The 26,675-nt window shown below is 38.5% G+C and overlaps 1 pseudogene across 3 annotated transcripts in view; it reads left to right on the forward strand.

The window, feature by feature from the left end:
• ATP8B5P (ATPase phospholipid transporting 8B5, pseudogene) overlaps positions 1–26,675 on the forward strand; it is a 76,275-nt pseudogene that overhangs the window by 8,048 nt on the left and 41,552 nt on the right. For all 3 annotated transcript variants that reach the window (NR_003581.2, NR_003582.1, NR_110320.1), the window contains exons 3-6: positions 18,905–18,963; positions 22,968–23,081; positions 23,927–24,026; positions 25,590–25,651. The product of NR_003581.2 is annotated as an ATPase phospholipid transporting 8B5, pseudogene, transcript variant 1 (transcript). The remainder of the gene's footprint in view (positions 1–18,904; positions 18,964–22,967; positions 23,082–23,926; positions 24,027–25,589; positions 25,652–26,675) is intronic.

Here is a 26,675-nt window from a genome sequence, read left to right on the forward strand (position 1 = left end):
ATAAATTGGACAGCTTTTATGATTATTTTGATTTTCTTTAGGCTCCTTTGAACAATTTTAGACTTGTTTTTGCTTAACTCAGACAGAAAAATTAATGAAGCTTTAGGGGATGGTCAGACTTAGAGGTGCAGGAGATCAGTAGTAGCTCAGGAGCTGGACTTTTCATGACATTCCAGACTTTAGTGAGCTTCTTCTCAAAGCTCTTCTTAACACTGCATTCTACACACCCTCTACAGCCATGCTGAATATCCTCTGGTTTGCTGACTTTTGCATAGAAGTGTCAACAAACCATTAGCCTTAGCTGAGGCTCCTCTTTGAGTCCAGCTGTTCTGTGATTATATAGATCTTCCCATAAGGAGGAGGCGATTGTCCTCTACTGGAGGAGTTTGGACAGCAATCTGACCCCAATTGAGCAGAACATGTTTCTAAGCATTTTTCACTTGTGTACTTGTTCATTCAACAAATCTTTATTATATCCAGAGCCTAATGCTGAGCCAAGCGGTAGGCTACAGAGATTTAAAGAAAAGAAAAAACATGGTCTCTACCTTTTTTAAATAAATTGACATGAAATTGTACGTATTTATTGTGTACAATATGATGTTTTGAAATATATACATACCTTCTAGAATGGTTATATCAAGCTAATTAACATATGCAGTACCTCACATAGTATCTCTGCAGGGAAGGCTTATGGCCTGGGCAATTTTTAGTTCTGAGCAAGATGGCCTGGACCTTAGCTTGCTGCTGCTAGTAGATTACTGGGAGTGTCAGATCTGTCTTGTCATGTTAATGAGAGCTGGGTGGGACTTACTGCCACCTGCTACTCTTACTCCTTGTGCGAACTCTTCTGTACAGTAGAAACAGCTATGCTTCTCCTTGGAATAATATCCCAGTGGCCAGAGAACTGTCCCTTGAGCTCCACAGGGGCCGCTGCTTGCCGTGCATGTGGAGAGCCAGAGCACAGACCTGGCTTATCCAGCCTCCACCTGGCTTTGCCCCTCCACCCGCCCTGGTAGCTTAACACAAAGGACAGAAACTTTGGGGAGCTTTATGACCCTATCCATTGCCTGAGAAACCAGAATACCTTCCCTGGAGATATAAGGCAAGCACAAATCCCACCACTACTACCACAGCTGGTGTTCTTTTCCAAGTGCCACCTTGTGGCTAGAGGCCAACACAGTCCATTACAGCACCTCCAGGTAGAATAACACTGCACCCGGGAAGGAAGAAACTTGTGCCTGACCTCAGCTATCACCATTGTCTGCACCACACTAGCCGACCAGGAGGTCCTGAGTCTGTTCGTGTGACCAGGTCATTACTTACTACCACTGGCATTTGAGAAAGCCAACACACTAAGGCTAGCTATAACCAAGGAATCTCACAGAGTCTATGTCACTCCCCTGCAAACCCCATCAGAGCCAGTGCTAGTACCTGCTTCTGGGAAACTTGAGAACACATCATATCACTGGATCCCTTGCAGACATTCCCTAGTACCAGCCTGGAGTGTGGCAGCCCCTCTAGGTGGCTAGATCCAGAAGAGCAACAGAATTCACAGTAGTCTGGCTCTCAGGGACTCCTACTTCTAGGGGAAAGGGGAGTATACTACGTCAAGGGAATACCCCATGGGACAAAGGACTCTAGATGGCAGGCCCTGAGTCCCAGATCTTTCTGCTGGTGGAAGTTTCTTTCAGCAGGGGCACAGTTGCAGTGCTGGACTTAGCAGGGAAAGTCTGCAGCTCTACTCCAACAGCCGGGCACCAAGCCTGCGGCTTGTGAAGAATCTCAGAGAGGGGGACTTCTTTTCCCCCTCATCCACCATTGCAGACACAGCTGGGGCTTCTCCCATGGGAGCTTGGTGTGAGTGCATCTATGCATAGCATTTCTGGAACACTTCAAGGTGACTGTATCCCCATAGGAGGAGCACTCTCCAGGTTCAGGCTTGCACAAGAGGTAGAGTCACAATTCTTCCTTACTTGGAACATCAACATTCCTGCAGATGAAAAGAGGTACCTGTCTGATCTGAATAGCTAGAACACAGTCAGGAGTGTGTCCTGCTGGCCTGGCAGGGGAGCTGAGGTGGCTCCCACCCTTCTGCCTGATAAAACCTCAGTGTTTCTCACTGAGAGCTCCCCCAGCCACCTCTGACAAACTTGGGACCTCTGCCCACCATTGGGTACTGCATTTACCCACCTGCTTCAGCCACAACTGGTTTCTACACAGGGATACCTCCTCTGCTGGCCTGAAGCCCAGACTGTTCAACCAGTAAATAAAATACTAGGGAAAAATAAGTAAACAAAAAGGTGTATACCACAGGGGAATGAAATAAGTAAGCTTCAAGAGAACTCTGCTGTTCCAACCCCCTGTGAGACAGTAAACTTGCGCACATACTGTGCACATTGTTACTACAAACTAGCATCTGAGAAGGCCATCATACAAAGACTGCCAGTAACCAAGGAACTTACGTAGAATCTTCACCCCTGAAAGCACCAAGAGCCGAATTAGGCTACAGTAAACATTAAAGTCAGATCCTTAAGAGGGTAAAAAGAAATTTTTAAAAAACACAATCAAAATAATTCTATAATAACTAGAAGAAATGGTCTACCCAAAAGAGAAGGAACCAGAAAAATAATTCTGGTAACATGGCAAAACAGGGTTCTGTAGCACCCCCAAAAGATCACATTAGCTCTCCAGTGATGGATCCAAACAAAGATGAATTTTTTTTTTTCTTTTGTGATGGGGTCTCCCTCTGTCACCCAAGCTAGAGTGCAGTGGTGTGATCTTGGCTCACTGCAACCTCCGCCTCCTGGGTTCAAGCGATTCTCCTGCCTCAGCCTCCCCAAGTAGCTGGGACTACAGGTGTGTGCCACCACTCCCAGCTATTTTTGTGTGTGTATTTTTAGTAGAGACAAGGTTTCACCATGTTGGCCAGGCTGGTCTCGAACTCTTGACCTCAGGTGATCCACCCGCCTTGGCCTCCCAAAGTGCTGGGATTACAGGTGTGAGCCACCACACCCAGCCAAGATGAAATATTTGAAATACCAGATAAAGAATTCGAATGGTTGATTATTAAGCTTTGATTATTTCCTTGAGTACAAGGAGATACCAGAGAAAGGTGAAAGCCAACACAAAGAAATTAAAAAAAAAAAATTCAGGATATGAATGAAAAATTTTCTAAAGAGATAGAGATCTTGAAGAATAGCTAATCAGAACTTCCATAAATGAAAGACACATTTAGGGAATTACAAAATGCAATGGAAAGATTTAAAAATAGACTAGAACAACCAGAAGAAAGAATTTCAGAGCTTGAAGACAAGGCTTTCAAATTAACCCAATCAGAAAAAATAAAAAAGAATAAAAATAAATGAACAAAGTCTCCAAAAATATGGAATTAAGTAAAATGGCCAAACCTAATAATAATTGATGTTCCTGAAGGAGAAGAAAAAGCAAAAAGTTTGGAAAACTTATTTGAAGGAATAAATGAGGAAAACTTCTCTGACCTTGCTAGAGATTTAGATATCCAAATACAAGAAGCGTAAAGAAATCCTGGGAGATTCCTTGCAAAAAGGACATTACCAAGCATATAGTCATCAGGCTATCTAAAGTCGATGTGAAGGAAAGAATTCTAAGAGCAGTGAGACAAAACCATCAGTTAACCTGTAAAGGAAAACCCATCAGACTAACAGAAGACTTCTCAGCAGAAACCTTACAAGCCAGAAGGGATTGGGGTCCTATCTTTAGCCTCCTTAAACAGAGTAACTGTCAGCCAAGAATTTTGTATCTAGCAAAATTAAGTTTCATAAATGAAGGAGAAATAAAGTCATTTTCAGACAAATGATGAGGGAATTTGTCACTACCATACCAGCCCTACAAGAAATTCTAAAAAGAGTTCTAAATCTTGAAACAAAAGCTTGATAGGCAGCAAAATAGGACCTCTGGAAAGCATAAAACTAACAAAACCTATGAAACAATAACACAATGAAAAATACAAAGTATCTAGATAACAACATGATGAATGGAACAGTACCTCACCTCTCAATATTAATGTCACATATAAATTGCTTAAATGCTCCACTTAAATGATACAGATTGGCAGAATGGATTAAAAAAATCACAAACCAAATATCTGCTGTCTGCAAGAGATTCACCTAACATGTAAGGATTTATATAAACTCAAGGTAAAGGGGTAGAAAAAGATACTCCATGTAAATGGAAACCAAAAGCAAGCAGGAGTGGCTATTCTTATCTAAAATAAAATAGACCTTAAAGCAACAACAGTGAAAAAAAGACAAGGTAATTATACAATGATATAAGGCTCAATCCAACGAGAAGGTATTACAATCCTAAATTTATATGCACCTAACGCTGGAGCTCCCAGGTTCGTAAAACAGTTACCGCTAGACCTACTAAATGAGATGGATAGCAACATAATAATAGTGGGGAACTTCAGTATTCCACTGACAGTGCTAGAGAGATCATCAAGACAAAGTCAACAACAACAAAAAAAATTGACTTTAAATGACACTCTCAAACAAATGGACCTAACAGATATTTACAGAACGTTCTATCCAAGATATGCACAATATACATTCTTCTCATCAATACATTTAACATTCTCCAAGATAGACCATATGATAGGCCACAAAACAAGTCTTAATAAATTTATAAACATCAAAATTATATCAAGTATTTTCTCAGACCACAGTGGAATAAAAGTAGAAATTAACTGCAAAAGAAACCCTCAAAACTATACAAATACATGGAAATTAAACAATCTGCTCCTGAATTATTTTTGAGTTAACAATGAAATCAAGATGGAAATTTAAAAATTCTTTTAAATGAATGACAGTAGTGACACAGATTATTAAAACCTCTTGAGATACAGCAAAAAAAAAAGTGCTAATGGGAACGTTTATAGTGCTAAATGCCTGCATCAAAAAGTCGGAAAGATCACAAGTTGACAATCTAATATCACACCTCAAGGAACTAGAGAAACAAGAACAAACTAAACCCAAAGCTAGCATAAGAAAAGAAATAATAAAAATCAGAGCAGAACTAAATGAAATTGAAACAAAAAAATGCAAGAGATAAATGAAAAAAAGCTGGTTCTCTGAAAAGATAAAATTGATAGACTATTAGCTAGATTAACCAAGAAAAAAGAAAATTCAAATAAATTCAATTAGAAATAAAACTGGAGATATTACAGTTGACACCACAGAAACATAAAAGATCATTCGAGACTACTAACAACACCTCTATGCACACAAACTAGAAAATCTAGAGGAAATGGATAAATTCCTGGAAACATACAACTCTCCTAGATTAAGTTGGGAAGAAATAGGTCCCCTGAACAGACTAATAACAAGCAGTGAGATTGAATGAGTAATTTTTAAAAATTGCTAGCAATAAAAAAGCCCAGGGCCAGATGGATTCTAATGTGAATTCTACCAGGCATTAAGAGAAGAATTGGTACCATTTCTACTGAAATATTTCAAAAGATTGAGAAAGAAGTAATCCTCCCTAAAACATTCTATGAAGCCAGTATCACCCTGATACCAAAACCAGGAAAGAACATTAAAAAAAAAGAAAACTACAGACCAATATCCCTGATAAACATAGATGCAAAAATCATCAACAAAATACTAGCTAACCAAATCGAACAGCACATCAGAAAGATCAAGTGGGTTGATCAAACCTACTATAATCAAGTGGGTTTCATCCCAGGGATGCAGGGATGGTCTAACATCTATGGAAGTCAATAATCATGACACATCACATAAACAGAATTAAAAACATATGATTGGCTGGGCATGGTGGCTCACGCCTGTAATATAACACTTTGGGAGGCCAAGGTGGGTGGATCATGAGGTCAGGAGTTCAAGGCCAGCCTGGCCAACATAGTGAAATCCCATCTCTACTAAAAATACAAAAATTAGCCGGGCATGGTGGCATGCACCTGTAGTCCCAGCTACTCAGGAGGCTGAGGCAGGAGAATCGCTTGAACCCGGGAGGCGGAGGTTGTGGTGAGCCACGATTGTGCCACTGCACTCCAGACTGGCAACAGAGCAAGACTCCGTCTCAAAAAAAAAAAAAAAAAGTATGATCATCTCAATAGATGCAGAAAAAGCATTTGATAAAATCCAGCATCTCTTTGTGATAAAGACTCTCAATAAACTAGGTACAGAAGGGGACATGCCTCAAAATAATAAAAGCCACATATAACAAACCCATAGTCAACATCATACTGAAAGGGAAAAGTTGAAAGTATTCCCCCTGAGAACTGGAACAAGACAAGGATGCCCACTTTCACCATTTCTATTCAACATAGTCCATTAGGAAGTCCTAGCCAGAGCAATCAGGCAAGAGAAAGAAATAACAGGCATCTCAGTTGGAAAGAGGACATCAAACTATCTCCATTCACTGGTGATGTGGTCATATACCTAGAAGACCCTGAAGACTCCTCCAGAAGACTCCTAGATTTAATAAACGAATTTTGAAAAGTCTCAAGTTACAAAATCGGTGTACACAAATCAGTAGCACTACTATACACCAACAACCACCAAGCTAAGAATCGCATCAAGAACACTCAATCCCTTTTAAAACAGCTGCAAAAAATATAAAATACCTAGGAATATATTTAACTAAGGAGGTGAAAGATCTCTACAAGGAGAACTATAAAACAATGCTGAAAGAAATCATAGATGATACAAACAAATGGAAACATATCCCATGCTCATGGATTAAGAAGAATCAATACTGTGAAAATGACCACAGTGCCCAAAGCAATCTACAGATTCAATGCAAGTCCTATCAAAATGCCAGCATAATTTTTCACAAAATTAGGAAAAACAATTCTATAATTTATATGGAACCAAAAAAGACCCTGAATAGCCAAAGCAATCATAAGTAAAAAGAACAAACCTGGAAGCATCACATTACCAGACTTCAAATTATACTACAAGGCTATAGTTACGAAAACAGCATAGTACTAGTATAAAAGTAGGAACGTAGACCAATGGAATGGAATAGAGAACAGAGAAATAAAGCCAAATACTTACAACCAACGGATCTTTGACAAAGCATACAAAAACATGAACTGTGGAAATGACACCCTATTTAATAAATGGTGCTGGGAAAACTGGTTAGCCACATGTAGAAGAATGAAACTAGATCCCAATCTCTCACTGTATACAAAAGTCAACTCAAGATGGATCAAGACTTAAATCCAGCACCTAAAACCATAAAAATTCTAGAAGATAACCTTGGAAAAACTCTCTTGAACATAGGCCTTGGCAAAGAATTCATGACTAAAACCCCAGAAGTAAATGCAACAAAACAAATAAATGGGACCTAATTAAACTAAAAAGCTTCTGCACAGCAAAAGAAATAATCATCAGAGTAAACAGATAACCTACAGAATGGGGGGAAATATTTGTAAACCCTGCATCCATCAAAGGACTAATATCCAGAATCTAAAAGAAACTCAAACAAATCAGCAAGAAAAAAACTAATAATCCCATCAAAAAGTGAGCAAATGACATGAATAGACATTTCTCAAAAGAAGATATACAAATGTCCAACAAACATGAAAAAAATGCTCAGCATTACTAATCATCAGGGAAATGCAAATTAAAACTGCAATGATATACCACCCTGCTCCTACAAGAATAGCCAAAAAAGATATTGGTATGGATATGGTGAAAAGAGAAGGATGTGGTTGTAAGTATTTGGCTTATACACTGCTGGTGGGAATGTAAATTAGTACAATCTCTATGGAAAACAGTATGGAGATTCCTTAAAGAACTAAAAATAGATCTTCCATTTGATTCAGCAGTCCTACTGCTGGGTATCTACTCAAAAGAAAAGAAGTAATTATGTGAAAAAGACACATGCACACATTTATTGAAGCACAGTTCACAGTCGCAAAGACACAGAACCAACCTAAATGCGCATCAACCAATGGGTGGATAAAGAAAATTTCATATATATATACACCATGGAATACTACTCAGCCATAAGAAGGAATGAAATAATGTCTTTTGCAGCAACGTGGGTGGAGCTGGAGGACATTATTCTAAGTGAAGTAACTCAGGAATGGAAGACTAGCTACTGTTATGTTCTCACTTATAAGTGAGAGCTAAGCTATGAGTACACAAAGGCATACAAAGTGGTAAAATGGACTTTGGAGACTCAGAAGGGGGAGGGTGCAAATGGAGTGAGGAATAAAAAACTACATATTGGGTACGGTGTACATTGCTTGGGTGATGGGTGCACCAAAATCTCAGAATTCACAACTATATAATGCATCCATGTAACCAAAATCACTTGTACCTCAAAAGCTACTGAAATATTTTAATGGTTTTTTTAATTAACATGAAGTTATATATATTTATTGCATACAACATGTTTTGAAATGCACACACACACACAAAACCCCTTCCAGAATGGTTAAATTAAGCTAATTAACATATACATTACCTCACATAGTTGTCATTTTTATGGTGAGAGCACTTAAAATCTACTCTTTGAATTTTTCAAGAATACAATGTATTGTTATTTATTATAGTCACCATGTTGTACAATAGATCCCTGGAACTTATTCTTCCTATCTAACTGAAATTTGTAACCTTTGATCAACATTTCCCCAACTCCTCCCTCATCAGCCTCCCAGCCCCTGGTAACCACCATACTATCCAGCCATGAAAAAAGAGGTAAATCCGTCATTTTGTAACAACATGGATGAATCTGGAGAACATTATGTTAAGTGAATAAATCAGACACAGAAAGACAAATACTGCATGATCTGACTCATATGTGGCATCTAAAAAAGCTGATCTCATGGTCTCTACCTATAAGGAGCTCTTTGTTTAGTGGGAGAATGCTGGTATTGTAAGTAAGCATGATAAGTAAGTTAAATATAAACCATGGGATGTAGCTGTGGGTAGACTGAACCAGAAACACATGATGAAATGGTGGCGAGAAAGCAAATTAGTTACTGCCCTTTCTGCAGGGCCATGGATACTGGCCTTTTCTGTGATGACTCTCTGCTACATCATTTAGCTGTTCTTCTTAGCATACATTTTTTTTTAAGAGATGGTGTCTTGCTTGTTGCCCAGGCTGGTGTTGAACTCCTGGGCTCAAGCAATCCTCCCCCTTAAGCCTCCCAAAATGCTGGGATTACAGGTGTAAGCCACCATGCCTAGTCATTTTACCATTCCTTACATGGAAATATCTAGTGGTTATGCTCCAGATATCTCAGAAATGAAGTCTGGAGAGATGAAAAATAAATTTTCTTGTGTATTCAAGACTTTAAGCCATATGGTTAGCTAAAATCTACTGATAGCTGTAATGTTTTAGATTGTTATTTGACTACCATAGGATAAATTGTGATCATTTGGAATCTGTGTGAGAAATTCCAGTATTCTTAATGCGAACTGACTCTGTATTAGTTCGTTCTCATGCTGCTATAAGGAAATACCCAAGACTGGGTAATTTGTAAAGAAAAGAGGTTTAATTGACACACAGTTTCCACATGACTGGGGAGGCCTCAGGAAACTTACAATCATGGCAGAAGTCACCTCTTGGCAGGGCAGCAGGAGAGAGAATGAGTGCAAACAGGGGAAATGCCAGAGACTTATAAAATCAGATCTCATGAGACTCATTCACTATCATGAGAACAGCATGGGGGAAACCACCCCTGTGATCCAATTACCTCCACGTGGTCCCACCCTTGACACGTGAGGATTATGGGATTACAATTTAAGATGAGATTTTGGGTGGGGTCACAGCCAAACCATAACTGTCTCCAACTAATCTGACTTGAAATTAGCCCTTTATCCTTCCCCTTGCAGCTGTCTTCACTTATTTTTAGAGACAGGAAAAGGAGATTTCTATGACAGCCATTAAATGACTTGGCTGAAATCACCTAGGCCTGCTAATCTGGAACTACAGCAAGGGGTCATTGCTAAATTTGCCCTGCCAGCACCTGGGCTTAATGGAACTGTGAGTATAGTAGTATATGGAGAGTAAGCCTTGACTAATCTAGTAGTTAAGAGACTTGCACTCCGGAAGATCATCTCATTGTTCTTGCATTAGCTGGAAAATCCCATTTGTGATCAATTCACCATTGTGAGCAAGGAAATATTTGTTCAGAATCTCCTAAGCCTGATTGCCACCTGACTAACTGGCCTTCATTCCTTTTCTGCCCTCCTCCTTCTTTTCCTGGTTACTTAAATTTCAGCGTGCTACTTTCTTTTGTTTCATCTTACAGAGCTCATTTTCCATTTTAGTTTCTGCCATTTCCTTGCTAGGATAATCGCCAATCTTCTGTAGCTTTAACCCCTAAAACCCGAGGTGGTATTACATATGTTGCGTAAGAGCTAAGTCTTTCACCCTGGCATTTGAGTCAAAACTCTAAGCATTATATCCTTAAACAGAGGCTTCTTCTATTTTGAGACTTCTACTACCTTTTTACCAGGTAGACAGAATTCTCCTCACTAGACTATGGCTTTTGTACCCTTCCTTTTCCACTACCTGGATTAGCCTAGTGCATCCACAGAAGGTAGCTGAAAGTTCAAAATCTATTTTGGGCACAGACAACTATATCAATGATGCATATGGAATCTCCTTGACATATTATAAGATAAATAACAGAATATAACATTTAATGTGTACTCTTTTTTTGGTTGTTGTTAGAGGCAGGGTCTCCCTCTGTCACTCAGGCTGAAGTGCAGTGGCATGATCAAGCTCACTGCAGCCTCCAACTACTGGGCTCAAGCAATTCTTCCACCTTAGCCTCCCATGTAGCTAGGACTACAGGTGTGTGGCACCATGCCAGCTACATTAAAAAAATTTTTTTTGTAGAGACAGGGTCTCACTACCTTGACCAGGCTGGTCTTGAACTCCTGGCCTCAAGTGAGCCTCCCACCTTGGCCTCTCAATGTGTTGGGATTACAGGCATGAGCTATTGCACCCAGCCTAATGTGTACTTTTGTGTGGTTCTCATTTTTTATTTGTTTTTCATTCACCTTTTCTCAGGTTGAAAATGTGTACTTTTGATTTGTCAGGAATCAGATAGGCACTTTACATTTATCATCTCATTTAGCCCTATTAGTATATACAGTAGGTTTTACTACCCCATTTTACACATGAAGAAACTAAAGCCAAGAAATGAAAAGTGACTTGCCCTAGGTCACTTAACAATTTAGTTGCAGAGTCCAGTCTAGAATAGCTAAAATGTCCTGAGCATTTTTAATTATTAGGAATTGTTTTCAAATATTTTGTGTGCCTTAACTCATTAATCCTCCCAATAACCTTATGAGTAGATATTATTATCATTTCCATCTTACAGAAAAATAAAATGAATCTCAGGTTAAGTTACTTTCCCAAGGCTAAGAAATCTGGCTTTCTAGCCCCCAATTCCTCTTCTCCTCCTGGTGAAAATCCTATTTTCCTTTTTCCTTCTTTCTTTGTGGCAGGTCTGTCATCAAAGAACCAAAACAAGGTGAAGGTTAATCCTGCCCTGACTTTGGAGTCTCAATCTGTCTTTGCCAACTCAGGCTCTGAAGTGGAAGACTAAGATTTGAACCCTGACAGCCTGACTCAATTGTCTGTGTTCTTAACCACTATGGGAGCTTTCTATATTTTTTAACTTTAAGTCTACTGCACATTTTATAACACCAGCTTGCCTCACTTCACCAAGATGTCTGGCCCTTTTAGTTCAGTTATTTCACCATGCGCAGGCCAGCTTTTAGGACAGGTCCTTTGAAACCAGTCTTTGAATAGGCTGTAGATTCAACCCTCAGTTCCTAATGGAGAATGAATTTTCCACAGTCACCAGTGGCTAGAAGTAGGTGTTTGTCCCCTTGAGTTCCATAGCTAGGACTTCTTCAACTAGACTATTTCCTAGACTCTCCTTGTCTCAACTAATTTCCAACCTTCTGTCATTCTAACCTCTCACCCATAATTCACATTTTGTCATTCTCGTTTCAGCCAAACAGGAATAACCTTTGAATTAACAAGTAATGGGGAAAACACTTAGTCACCCAGTCTTCTCTTACAGTATTTACATGCCCCAGGGAATCTTGAATTAATCTTTATTATCCAGTCTGAAAACTTTCTTCCTGCCTTTATGATCTCAAACAAGACTGGTTACTTTCTTTCCTTACAGCCTGCCTTTTTTCTCTCTCAAACATTTAGTTTATTCTCTTAGATGGTTGTGCAAAGTGATGTTTTAACCACTTTTCTCATCATTCCTTCTTTTCCTTCATCGTAGACCTCTTAGGAAATCTGGCTTTCTAGCCCCCAATTCCTCTTCTCCTGGTGAAAATCCTACTTTCCTTTCTCCTTCTTCTTTCTTCATGGCAGGTCTGTCATTAAAGAGCCAGAACAAGGTGAAGGTTAATCCTGCCCCTACTTCGGAGTCTCAATCTGTCTTTAGCAACTCAGGCTCTGAACCTTGAGATCTACTGCTTTACTTTACTCTTCAACTCAAAGAGGGAGATATGTGTTCAGTATTCAGTTGTTGCATAGAGGCTGAACCCCAGGTATCCCTCAGAACTAGTGAGAGAATGGCCTGTTTCACCCAGATAAGTTGCTGGCAGAGGCTGTTAGACCCTTGTTAGGTTAAAAAATAATCAGGGATATTTAGGATTAAATTTAATAAGAAATGTGAAATCCAGTAAGAAAATATTATAACTTTATCAAAAGTTATAAAATAATATTTTTAAACAAATAGAAACGTTTTACTGGTCTGAAGGGATAAATGGCATGGGAGAAACTGATTTTATTCAGTAATCCATTAATATATTGAGTATGAACATAGCCTGTCCAAGGACTGGAGAATCTCAACACTAGTAGAAACACCAGTACTTCTCTGGTACCCTGCCTTAATCAGGTAGCTATCTGTGCCCCTTGAGAAAGTCCCTGCACAAAGGGCCTATGCCATACACCAGCTCTAAATCCTAGATGTGACTAAATTATCTGAGCTATGCATATTCCACTGCTTCAGAGAAGCTAAGCTTCAATGATTAGCAGAAGCCCTTGTATCACACAGTTGTAAATAAGCCACTAACCAGTCAAAATAAAGCTCCACAAAATATATCAATCCCATCTCACATAAGTATAAAACTTCTCCCATGTTTATTCAACTAGTAATCATCCAGTAACCATTCATCCTAATAATCACAAGAATAAAATATAAGAAGGAAGAAATGTACTAGTACAGTAGAACAAACTACAAGCTGCATAGCTGGGTTGTAAGCATAGTCCAGAGAAGACTCATAGCCATTTGCTTATGTATTGCTGGTAAGCTGACTATATAGACATGATCATCATGCACAAAGGAGTGGCGTCCCAGGAGGACACCAACAGCTATCTCTCTGTCTCTCTCACAGGAATATAGCATGTTACCAGATAGGGGGCTAATATTGCAAAAATGTCAACTCTATCCAAATTAGTGTACATAATCTAAATCTGTTTACTCTCAAATCCTTGGGTAAACCTAGCTGAACATCCCAGTTTCATCTTGGTCACAATTTGTACAAATGGTAACCACAAAGAAAAAGCCTCTAGTAGATACAGAAAAGAGAAAGATAGGAATCAAAGCACACCACTACAAAAGTCATCAGATCACAAAGGAAGACAGCAAGAGAGGAACAAAGGAACTACAAAACACTCAGAAAACAACAAAATGGCAATAGTAAATACCTATCTTAAATTACTTTAAATGTAAATAGATTGAATTCTCCCATCAAAAGACTGACTAGAATGGTTGAATGAAAAAACAAAACAAAACAAAAAAATAAGATCTAACAATATGCTACCCACAAGAGAGTCACTTTAACTTTAAGGACATACATAGGCTGAAAGTGAAGGGATGTAAAAAGATACTCCATGCAAATGGTAACCAAAAGAGGGCAAGGGTGGCTATGCTTATGTCAGAAAAATCTGTCATAAAAGACAGAAAGGTCATTATTTAATGATAAAGGGGCCAATTCATAAATAGGATATAACACTAGTGAATATAAATGCATCCAACAACAGAGCACTTAAATGTATAAGGCCAAAGGAAGACAGCAAGAGAGGATCAAACGAACTACAAAACACTCAGAAAACAATTAACAAAATGGCAATGCTAAATACTTACCTATCTATAATTACTTTAAGTGTATAAGGCAAAGATAAACAGAACTGAAGGGAGAAATAGACAGCAGTACAGTAAAGTAGAGAACCTCAATAATCCACTTTCAACAGTAGAATCATTCAGAAAGAGAATCAAGGAAACAGTGGACTTGAATAACACTATGAACAAATGGACCTAACAGATATATACAGAACATTCCATTCCCAAACAGCAGAATATATTGTTCTTTTCAAGTGCACATGGATCTGTTCTCCAGTATAAATCATATTTTGGGCCACAAAACACGTCTTAACAAATGTAAAAAGATTGAAAGTATATTAAGTATCTTTCCTAACTACATGGTATGAAACTAGAATAACAACCAATGGATGAAAAAAAAATCCAAAAGGTGAAATAAAAATACCTTTATACAAGTGGAAACATAACAAAACTTATGGGATGCAGCAAAAGTTGTTCTAAGAGAAAAGTTTATTGCAATAAATGCCTACATTAAGGAAAAAAAAAGAAAGATCTCAATTAAACAACCTACTTTTATACCTTAAGGAACTAGGAAAAGAACAAATTAAGCCCAAAGTTAGCAGAAGGAAGGAGTTAGAGTAAAAATAAATAAAATGGAGAATAGAAAAACAAGAAAAAATAATGAAACTAAGAATTGGTTTATTGAAAAGATAAACACAATTGACAAACCCTTAGGTAAACTTTTATTTTTAAAAGACTCTAAAATCCAAAATGAAAGAGAAAATGTACAACTGATGCCACAAAAATAAAAGGGATCACAAGAGACTATTATAAAGTTATATGCCAACAAATTGAATAACCTAGAAGAAATGGATAAATTCCTGGAGACATGCAACCTACCAAGCCTGATTAACAAAGAAAAAATCTGAACAGACTAATAAGTAAGGAGATCGAATTAGTAATCAAAAACCTCCCAGCAGGCCGGGTGCGGTGGCCCATGCCTGTAATCCCAGCACTTTGGGAGGTCGAGGCAGGCAGATCACTTGAGGTCAGCAATTTGAGACCAGCCTGGCCAACATGGCAAAACCCCATCTCTACTAAAATACAAAAATTAGCCGGGCGTGGTAACAGGCGCCTGTAATCCCAGCTTCTTGGGAGGCTGAGGCAGGAGAATTTATTGAACCAGGGAGCTTGCAGTGAGCTGAGATCATGCCACTGCACTGCAGCCTGGGTGACAGAGTGAGACTCTGTCTCAAAACAAAAACTAAAACAAAACCAACCAACAAAGAAAAGCCCAGGACCAGATGGCTTCACAGGTTAATTCTATCAAACATTTAAAAAATAATTAACACTAGTCCTTCTTAAACTCTTCCTAAAATTGAAAAAGAGAGAACACTTTCAACTCATTTTATCATGCCAGCATTACTCTGATACCAAAGCCAGACAAAGACACTACAAGAAAAGAAAATTATTGGCCAATACTTCTGATAGATGCAAAAATCCTCAACAAAATCCTAGCAAATAAATTCAGTATCACAGTAAAAGAATCATATGTCATGACCAAGTAGGTCTTATCTCTAGGATGCAGAGATCACTTAACATATGCAAATTAATCAATGTGATATACCACATTAACAGAGTGAAGGGTAAAAACTGCATTAACTCAGTAGATACAGAAAATGCATATGGTCAGTTGATTTTTAACAAGGACGTTAAAACTATTCATTGGGAAACGAATAGTCTTCAATAAATGGTGCTGGTAGAACTGGATATACACAATACAAAAATATAAAAATAAAAACGGACCCCTATTTCACCATATGCAAGAATTAATGCAAAATAGATCAAAGACTTAAATGTAAGAGCTAAAACTATAAAACTCTTTTTAATTTTATTTATTTATTTATTTTTGGAGACAGAGTCTTGCTCTGCTGCCCCGACTGGAGTGTGGTGGTGCAATCATGGCTCATTGGCCAGCCTCAATCCTGGCCTCAAATGATCATCCCACCTCAGCCTCCTGAATAGCTAGGATCACAGGCTGCACCATCATGCCTAATTTTAGTTTTTATAGAGATGGGGTCTCACTATGTTGCCCAGATTGGTCTTGAACTCCTGGGCTCAAGCAATCCTCCTGCCTCAACCTCCCAAAGTGCTGGGATTACAGGTGTGAGCCACTGCGTCTGGGCTATAAAAGTCTTAGAAAAAGAAATAGGAGTAAATTCTAATGACCTTGGATTAGCAATGGTTTCTAAACCATGACACGAAAAACACAAGTGACCAAAGAAAATGCATATAGGACTTCATCAAAATAAAAAACTTTGTTGCTTCAAAGCCAACCATCAAGAAAATGAAAAGACAACTCAGAATGGTACAAAATATTTGCAAGTCATATATTTGATAAGGGCCTTCTATCCAGAATATATAAAGAACTCTTACAGTTCAGTGATAAAGAGACAACGCAATTTAAAAATGGTCAAAGACATTAACAGGGGAACAGTAGACACTGTGGACTACTAGAGGGGGAGGGGTTGTGGGTGCAATATACCTATGCCACAAAACTGCACATGCACCCCTGTCTGTAAAACAGAAGTTGAAATTTTTTTAAAATGGTCAAATAATCTGAGTAGACATTTCTTCAAAAAAAAAATGCAAATAACTAGTAAGCACATGAAAAGATACTCAACATCATCATTAGTCATTAGGGAAATGCTAATCGAAACCACAGTGAGATACTATTTCACAGCCTTTAAAATTGCTAAAGTAAAAAGCATGAGCAATAACAAGTGCTGGAGACAATGTGGAGAAATTGGGACACTCATACATTGTGAGGAGGGAATGTAGAATAGTACAGATACTGTGGAAAACTGTTTAGCAGTTGCTCAAAAAATTAAACATAAAGTTACCATTTGACCTATTGATTCTACTCCTAGGTGTATACTCAAGAGGAATGAAAACATGTTTACACAAAAACTTGTACAGGGATGTTCATAGCCATATTCTTCACAGTAGCCAAAAGGTGGAAACAAACCAAATGCCCAATCATGGATGAATAGATAAGTAAAATGTGGTACATCCAAACATTGACATATTGTTCAGATGTAAAAAGGAATGAAATACTGATACGTACTACAACGTGAATGAACCTTGGAAACATTATTCTAAGTGAAAGAAACCAGTTTTAAAAGACCACATATTTTATGCTTCTGTTTATGTAAAATGTCCAGAATAGACAAATCCACAGAGAATAGATTAGTGTCCACCAGGGACTGAGAGGAGAGGTCAGAATTGAGAGTACAGGTATGAGGTGTCTTTGGGGGGTGATGAATATGTTCTGGAATTAATGACGATGGTTGCATAACCATGAATATACTAAAAGCCATTCAATTGTACACTTCCAGGGGGTGAATTTTATATTATATGAATCATAGCTCAAAAAAAAAAAAAAAACTTGAACAATTGCAGAGTTGGGTTTCTAGGACCTGGAGCCAGAGACTCCTCTTGGAGGAGTGAATCAAGTAGTTCAAGATCAGAGTAGGAGTCGGTAGCCTAGGATAGAATTTTTGAGGGCCAAGGAAAGAAGTTTCTTTTTAATCTTGGGAGCCATGGGCCAAGGAGGACCTTAGAGGGCCAGAAGAGCTTTAAAGTAGATATTCAATACAACTCAGAGGCAGAGGGGTTGCTACGACCCACTCTCTGAGGGGGCAAATTCTATGGAGACATTACCTAAGAATTACTAGAAGCATTAAGGGCAGAAAGCTTAGGAGCACTGTCAGCCTTCAGGCTAAATTCTATATTGCTTGGTATAATACACAGGCTTAAGAGAACTGGGAAGCACTTAATCCATATCATCCAAATAACTAAGGCATCTCCTCCAGGAATACATCTATGTCCTACTTTCCTTGACTTCCATCCCCTCTTCTGTGCACCTCCAACCTGTAGCTCTGCCCTTACATTAGATTGAAATTTTATTTTATATTTGTCTGTCCTACTAGGAATAGTACCAAGATGGTCAGGATGATGTTTTCCTCATCTCGTAACCCTAGGACCTAGCACAGGGCCTGAACCTGCCAAGAACCCAGCAAATGCTTGCTGAACCAAGGAAGAACCAAAGAGACTATAGGAATGTTTCATTCAGGGGAGAAAGATCTATTGATTATATATATATATAATTTGTTTGTTCATAACATGGTAACAGGCTCACTATTTGTAGTAGTTTGTAACAAACACCTCTGTTTTGATGTGATGATTTTGTCAAGTAGTTATCAGGCTTACTCCTACTATACTAAAGTCCTTGAAGTCAGAGACTGTCTTACTCATCGTTTTATCCCTCCACGGCATCCAGTACACTGGCCTCTGTGCAATAGATGCTCAGTCATTGTTTATTAATTTAAATTTAGTTAAGCAAGTTTAGGACAAGTTGGCTTAGAAAAGAGTCTCAGATATATTAAGACAAAGTGCTAAAATTGACTTATGAGGGAAGGCTGGGTTTCTGTGTTTGTCAGTAAAATTGGTGCAGACCATCTTGTTGTCTGTGGAGACATGATCTAGGAAGTACTAGAAGCATTGATGGTGGAGAACTCCTCAGGAGTTACTTGTCCTGTTGCCTCCAGAAAGCTTGAATACTTGAGCATTTTTATTTTTATTATATTTCTTGATTCTTTTGATTAAAGAGACAAAATCCCATGCTTAAATAGACATCTTCAGCAAGAAAGTGTGGGGATCTAGTGAAGTCTTCACTAGCAGCCAACATCCCAGTCTGATATACACAGGGGCATCCATCTCATCGTTTATCCTATCTTTTTTCAGAACATGAGAGATATCTGCAAGCCAACAACAAAGAATTCAACAGTATTTTTGGATATCCGGTGAGTGTCATCCCTCTGGCTGTTTCAGAAGGGGGTCAGTATTCTCCTATAATATTCTTCTTTGTTGGGGGAGCGTGAAATTCTTTGTAGTTGTGGATCCTATAACACAGATTCTATTACACTTTCTTTCAAGCTCCTATACAATGCAATGAAGGCTCAGAAGCCAAAATTAATCTAGTGACATAAGCTAGGGAGAGAATGTCTTAGATTTCAGGTTTATATATAACTCCCAGAAAATAAATACTGTAGTTTTTCTTGCACAAATGAAAGCATAGTTCTACTTTTTTCACTTAGACATGTATCTGACAACACATACAGATATCCCTCATTTATTTAATAGCGACATTGTTTTCCATTATATTGATAAACCTGAATTTATTTAGTCAGTCTTCTATTGATGAACATTTAAATGTCTCCAGTGTTTTGCTATGCTAAATGGTGCTGAATGAACACCACTATACATATATTTTGGCACATTTGTGTGACTGTATCTTATGAAAGTTTCCTAAAAGTAAATTGTCTGTTTCAAAAGAAAAACACACTAAAAATTAAAAATTATCAGAGGCCAGATTGCCCCCCAAAAGAATTATATCCATTTATGTTTCTACTTAGAGACTGCCCGTTTCTCCACATTCCTGTCAAACTCATTATTATCAATCTTTGTCATCTTTGCCAGCTCTTAGATGAAAATGACATACATGTTAATTAGCCTTTTGTATTTCTTTTTCTGGAAAATACCTATTAATGATCTTTGCCCACTTCCTATTGAATTGTTCATTTTTCACTTATTTATGTGTCTATAACTAAGTAATTCATGAAAAGATATATATTGAAAAGGCATGCTCCAATACTCCATCCTTGTCCATATCTGCTCCCCTGAGGGAACCACTGTTAGTTTTCTTGTGTGTATTAATCAGATTAGTGTTTCTTTGTGCAAATAAAGCAAATACAAATATATAGTCTTATTTTCCTATTTTTACACTATTCTGAACCTTAACAGTATATCCTGGAGATGTTTTCATCATCATAATTTCATAATAGTTTTTTTCTTTTTTTTCCTTTTTCAGCTATAATATATAGTATTTCCTCTGCAGATTTAACATATTTTATTTAACCAGTTCCTTTTAAATGGACATTTGGGTTGTTTTCAATCTTCTATGATCACAAGCAATGGTTTTATACATAATATAATTCCATGCATGTGTAGCATAATATAATTCCATGCATGTGTAGCTATGTATACATATACATAGCTATAATTATATAAAAATATATGTCTGCGGTCTCTGTGGGATATTAGTTTATGATTTCTGAGTGAGAGTGGTATATTAGTCCAATCTCACACTGCTATAAATAACTACCTGAGACTGGGTAATTTATGAAGAAAAGAGGTTTAATTGACTCACAGTTCCTCAGGCATAACTGGAAGCATGACTGGGACGCCGCAGGAAACTTACAATCCTGGCAGAAGGCAAAGGGGAAGCAAGCACCTTTTTCACGTGGTGGCAGGAAAGAGAGAGAGAGTGAGGAGGATCCTATACTTTTAAATCATCAGATCTTGTGAGAACACAAGAATAGCATGAGGGAAAGCCGCCTCCATGATTCAGTCACCTCCTACCAGGTCCCTCCCCAACACTGGGAGTTACAATTCAACATGGTATTTGGGTGGGGGACACAGAGCCAAACCATATCAAATAGTTCTGGATAATAATAGTATCCAAGATATGACCATGAAAGCAGGTTTTTCTCTTCTCTATCTTCTAGACCTACGTAACAAGCAGTGGGGACAGTAAATCTAGGTTTGGGCATCAGACAGATCTGAGTTTGAATATAGCTCAGCCTTTACTAACCTTAATGTCTTAGGCAAGTTTGTTAACTTCTCTGATCTTCAGTTCTTTCATCTGTAAAATGGGCATAATAATGTTCACCTTGCATGGTGGTCGTAGGAGTTAAGTATGGTTCTGAAAATGTTAGTTCTGTTTCTCCAAAAAACTATTAGCCCTTGGAAAAAGGGTATCTCATTTATCTCTGTATACACAGTATATTTGTGATACAGTTTCTATCACAATGTTGTGCACACAGCCAACATTCAATAAATATATATTGAATATTGAATGAGTGAATGAACAGATCTGACTGATTCTGATATATTTAACACCATTTCATTTCCCTGGCCCTGAGCATTGCTCATTTTCCTATTTCTCTAACTTCTTCCACTGTGACTCCTTGTCATCTTCCTAACTCCTAACTACTGATTCTCATTATATCCTTGGCCTTTTATTCTCTTCTATTTTCCCAATTAACCTTCAGTCCCATATCACTGCCCAAAGAAAAAAATAACCAAACCAAAATTAACCACCTCTTATCATGTTTAAATTTTATCACCTCTGCCAAAAGGACTAAACTCTGAGGAACTTCATAGTTAAGGAGATGTTATTAGGATATTGCTTCTGGTTTTACATTTAAGAGCAAAATGAAACGCTCTAGTTGCCAAGTTAATAAATAAATACCTGTACTTCTATCTTGAGGCAGAATGCTACCTACGTGAGTAGAAACCTGAAATATATTAAATGGCTATAAAATCAAATGGAAAATCAACAGTGAAGGCTAGCTACATCAGTAAGGCCACCTCTCAGAAGATCTTTGGGTCCAAGTATCACAGCCATCTGGACTTAAACACTGAGAAATTCAAAGTATCTTATGATCAAAGAAAGCTATTTCCATGTTAGAATTACATACTCTCATGATGAGAAGGGCCTGTAGAGATCATTTTACTAGAACTTCGTTCAAGACAGACCATGAGCTTCTCCAGAAGGGATCCTGTCTAATTATTTTTCAGCCTCCACTAGTATAGTCCAGCATAAGGCTGTGAAAAGAGCAAGCCTTGAGAAATGCTATACTGTCTGATTGATTATTATTTGGAAAATCATGGAGAGAACACCAAGGAAATCTTAGTTTTGGCTTGGATCTCTAAACTCCTAAGTGCTAAGCTATTTGACCAGCTTCTCATCCCTAAGGAAATAGGTAGGTTCTTCTTTTAAAAAAAACAAAACAAACAAACTTGTATTTAAGTTCAGGGGCACATGTGCAGGATGTGCAGGTTTGTTACATAGGTAAGCCTGTGTCATGGGGATTTTTTGTACAGATTATTTAATCACCCAGGTATTAAGCCTAGTATCCATTAGTTATTTTTATTCTTTTGTTCTGTCCTTTTAAATGGAAGAGGTAGGAGATGAGCCCTGAACTTAGGGAATTATTTGGTCTTATTCTCCTGCTTTTAGAGCTCTTAGATTTGAGCTCTGACATCTTAGGACAAATGATTTAAGACTCCAAGGTAGAAAGTAAGATGGTCCTGTGAACATCTTGAGATCAGAATTGAGGAAGTAGACAAGTTCCCATTTTCACTGAGCAAAATAGTAGCTTAGATATAAGCCAAAACTCTTTAAATCCTCTTAGGACAATTAAGGGCCAAATGATTCTCCAATGCTGATAGTGACCCCTATAGAAACCTTCAGTGGGCTAGGATTGAAAGACAGTTTTTTGCTTTTAGCATCTGACGTCCTTCAACATTGCAAAAAACACAGAAAGGCACACCAAACTGAGTTTGCTCAGCTAAGAAAAGCTTTGTTAGAGAGCTCTGGATGCAGTACCTCAATTTCCTCATCCTCAAAAGTACCCCCTTCATAGGATTGTTGTGAGGAGTAAATGAGTTGCTACATATAAAATGCTAGAACAGTGCCTTTCACGAAGTAAGTACTCAATAAATGTAAGTTTTTATTGCTGTTGATTTGATTATCATTATTACTATCAATAACATCAATAAGCAAGAACTCTATCAGGGCAGAGATACATTCCCCCAAGTACCCAACAGTCTTGCCATCTTTCTACCTTCTAGGCCTCTCTAGGGGTAGACTGGGAAGTAGGCGCAGCTGCTTATCAACCCAGTTTTGAGCTGTCTTTTGTCTAATTGTGTATTTCTTGTTTATTTGTTTGTTTACTCACAGAACAATGCCATCAAGACCTCAAAATATAGTGTCTTTAATTTCCTGCCCCTGAACCTATTTGAACAGTTCCAGAGACTTGCAAATGCATATTTCCTCATTTTGCTATTTTTACAGGTATTGCTTTTGGGGGCCTTTTTCACAGAGTATTTTATAAACCTCTCTGGGGTCAGGCTGTGTAATCAGTTTTTCTCCTCCCTAAATTGGGAAATGTCTTCTCTCTTTAGACAACAGGAACGTGGATGGCTGGAGTCTCAGACCAGTCCCTTAGAATAGCTGTGGTCAGGATTAGCTAGTGTATAGCAAGCCTCTACACAAGGAAAGGGACAAGGTCACCACATCCCAAGGAAGGGGAGCTCCTCATCATGGCTGTATTGCCACAGTTCAGTTTGACCATAGGGGGCTACAGAATTCTTCACCCCAACCACAACTCCAACTCTATTCCTCCTTCTTGTCCCAGCCTCCTTGACATAAAATTAACATATGGGAGTGCTAAAGAAGGTTTAGAATGGTTTAGAATATGAGTGCCAGCATAAGAACAGGAAGCAGGGCAGGGTAGGCCCAAATTGGGAGACAGGGACAGGTCATCTCACTCCTCCTTGTACTGAAGGGTGTGGGAGAGCATGTAGTTTTTCTGTATCTACTTTTACCCACTCTCCATACCCATTACTTTTCACTGTCAAAGGAGAAATGGGTCTTTGCCATCAACACAAAGGTAGTGGGGTTCAGGATAGATAGGTAGCAACTTATAGCCTTTTATTCTTTTATCCTCCCTTGGGAAATGTTTACTTATATTTGGGGGGTTATATGAAAGATACAACAGTGGAAAGCAACTAGGATAGTTGGATTTAGTATGAACAAATGGAGGTGAAAATGATGTTGAGGGTGAGGGATGTGGTGGGGGGGAATGTATTATCCTTTCAGTTTTCTGACCCAAGATCCTCTCCCTTTCCCTCTCTTAGTTGATTCCCCAGATCTCCTCCTTGACATGGTATACAACTATAACACCCCTGATGGTGGTGCTGTCCATTAACAGCTGTGAAAGATGCCATCGATGACCTGGTGAAGTAGCTTCCTGGGCCTCTACTTCCTCACTGCACCTAGTCAGACTGTGGGCATGAAGGACTTCCCAGAACTACCTAGTGCTAACAAGAAACCCTGAATGGAAAGAGATATTTCCTTTCTTCTTTCCTTATTCATCCCAGAGTAATATGCAGTACCTTTAGGCCCAAGATTGGTGGTCTGTGTATGGCCAGAAAGGGGCAAAACAAGGCCTTTCTCTATCTTCCTACTGCCACCACTTTTAGCCCCTCTCCTGAGCCTCCTTCCATCTTTAATAACCCACTCTTTCTTTACTCCTCTCTTAGCTTTTTCTAGCTTTGTTCTCATCCTTTTTCCTCTGCTCCTCCTTCTCCTACTCTATATTCCCTTTGCCTTCCTCTATCTGCCCCTGCTCCATCTCTCCTATTCTTTCTCTTTCTTCTCTCCACATTTCCTGTCTCCTCTCGAACTCTATTTTCCTTTCCAACTTTCAATTCTGTTAAGTGTGCACAGCTAGGAACCCTCTGTCCTGGCTTTGAAAGAGAAACTGGCTCACAGTGAGTGCTGCATGGCTTCCTCTTTGCCTCTTACAGCAGGCCCAGCATAGAGGGGTGAGAGTAAGGACCCAGTACCATGCCTACTAGTAGGATTTGGAAAGCCAGTCCTATAGACCTGCTTGCAGTTTCCCTAAGAGGGTCTTTCTGATTTTGCCAGAATAGATTTTTAGCCTAGTTTGAGAGCACCTTGTTTCCTCAGCACTTTATCTCTATAAACCCAGGATTAGCATGTTGTGGTTTACCTTTCAGTCACAACTTAGATGTACGAAAATATAACTTTATTTCTCTATAACTGAACTCAGTTTAGCTTATAACCACATGCATACCCCATCTTAACTCTCTCCAGTGAGAACCAAAAATTAATTTACCAATTCATGGTAACCCAATTACTTCTGGCTTAGAATTCAGTCTCTTTATGATAAATATTTGGACAATTTTGAATTCTGACAAATTCAGGATTCTCTCTGCCCCACTCCCAGTCCTACCCTTTACTCAGGGAGTAATCTCAACTGGAAGGAAGATATTTATGTGAATCCTGGCATCAGGACATAGCCTCTATTTGTTTCCCTTCTATTTGATCTTTAAATATTGGCCTCTTTCCTCAGCCACTATAGAAGCTTCTGTATGTCAACCATGGTTGGAGGTAGGGTAGGAGTCTGCTTGAGAATACTCAGCTTTCCCAGCACCTACCCAGGCAGACAGAATTCTGTAGCCCTGCCCATCATTTGGATTGTGTCCTCTGCAGCTTTTGATATGTTATTCTCATTCCTCCAGGTTTTTTGCTTTTGATATTTAAAACTAAAATTTTGTCTCTTTCTTCTCCCTGGATTCTTTTCCTGCCCTCTCTTCCCAGCTTCCCAGAGATAATCAACCTCTTGGCCTAGTTTGAAGGAAAGAAGGGCTTGGGACAGGGGAAAAGGAGAATTACAAAGAAGGGAACTACATTGTGTAATATTTCAAAATGTTAATCTTCTATATGCAGTTTGTTATAGGTCTATTTCCTGAACATTTTCTTGTGTGATTTTAGAAAAGGCATCAAAGTGACGATCGAGTCAACAACCAGCCTGTTCTGCTACTGGTGAATGGCAAGTAAGTTCTTCTAGAGAAGCTGGTTTAGGTAGGACCAGTCCTGAAAAAGGGTTGGGTTTAGCTCAGGACAATGAAAAGAACCTCAGACATAGAAATAATTTGTTTCTAGATCTAGCATGCCCTGAATTTGTCATGTCACCTCAGATATCTATGTGGGCCTCATTTTTCTTTTTTATAAGATAGAAATAATATTCTCTACCTTAGAGGATGCTTGTGAAAATAGAAAGGAAATAATATATATTAAAGCAATTAATATTTTATAACATGATATTACTATGCAAGTGATATTATTAGTGTGGTAGTTAGCATGGAAACATCTGTCTTTAGAACATTAATGGATTCTGACATGGTTTTTGTCCATTCTACTATAGCCTTTGGTCAGGTCATCTTTTCTGTTAAAAATCTAAACAGAGTATTGATGTTGGCCCCACTGCTGTAGTGTTTGGTCATAGCTATCTAAAGTGTTGCAGGAATGGAAGAAGGCAGGCATATTCCTATGTAAGGCAAAATATGAAGACTATCCTAAGAGGTACAAAAAATTACTATGGGAATTAATAAAAATATGCAATTATAACTGGTTAAAGGAATCAAGGAAGACTTTCTGGAAGAGGTGTAGTGTTTGTACTAGGCCTTAAGGGAAGGGGAAGAATTCAACAAGTAGAGATTGTGTTAAAGGAAAAGTGACCAGTGTGGGCAGAAGCATGATTGCAAGAAAGTGCAAACCTGAAGGAGTTCAGGATTGAGGTCCAGCCTTTATCATGGTGGCCTTACTGAACACCCAATAGCTATAGTATTTATCATATAATTCTATCATCTCAAGAGCTTGGGCAGCTAATCCTGTTGTGTATTTTGTCTGCTGATTCTTACACACGATGGATTGTTTCCTCAAGAGTTTTGACCTGTTGAAATGTCCCATAAGATACCGCCAAAAAAGTCAGTTGTAGTTAAAAAGAAAAGTAGAGGCCGGGCGCGGTGGCTCACGCCTGTAATCCCAGCACTTTGGGAGGCCGAGGCGGGCAGATCA

The sequence above is a fragment of the Homo sapiens genome, chromosome 9, assembly GCF_000001405.40.
Source record: "Homo sapiens chromosome 9, GRCh38.p14 Primary Assembly".
NCBI classification, from domain to species: domain Eukaryota; kingdom Metazoa; phylum Chordata; class Mammalia; order Primates; family Hominidae; genus Homo; species Homo sapiens.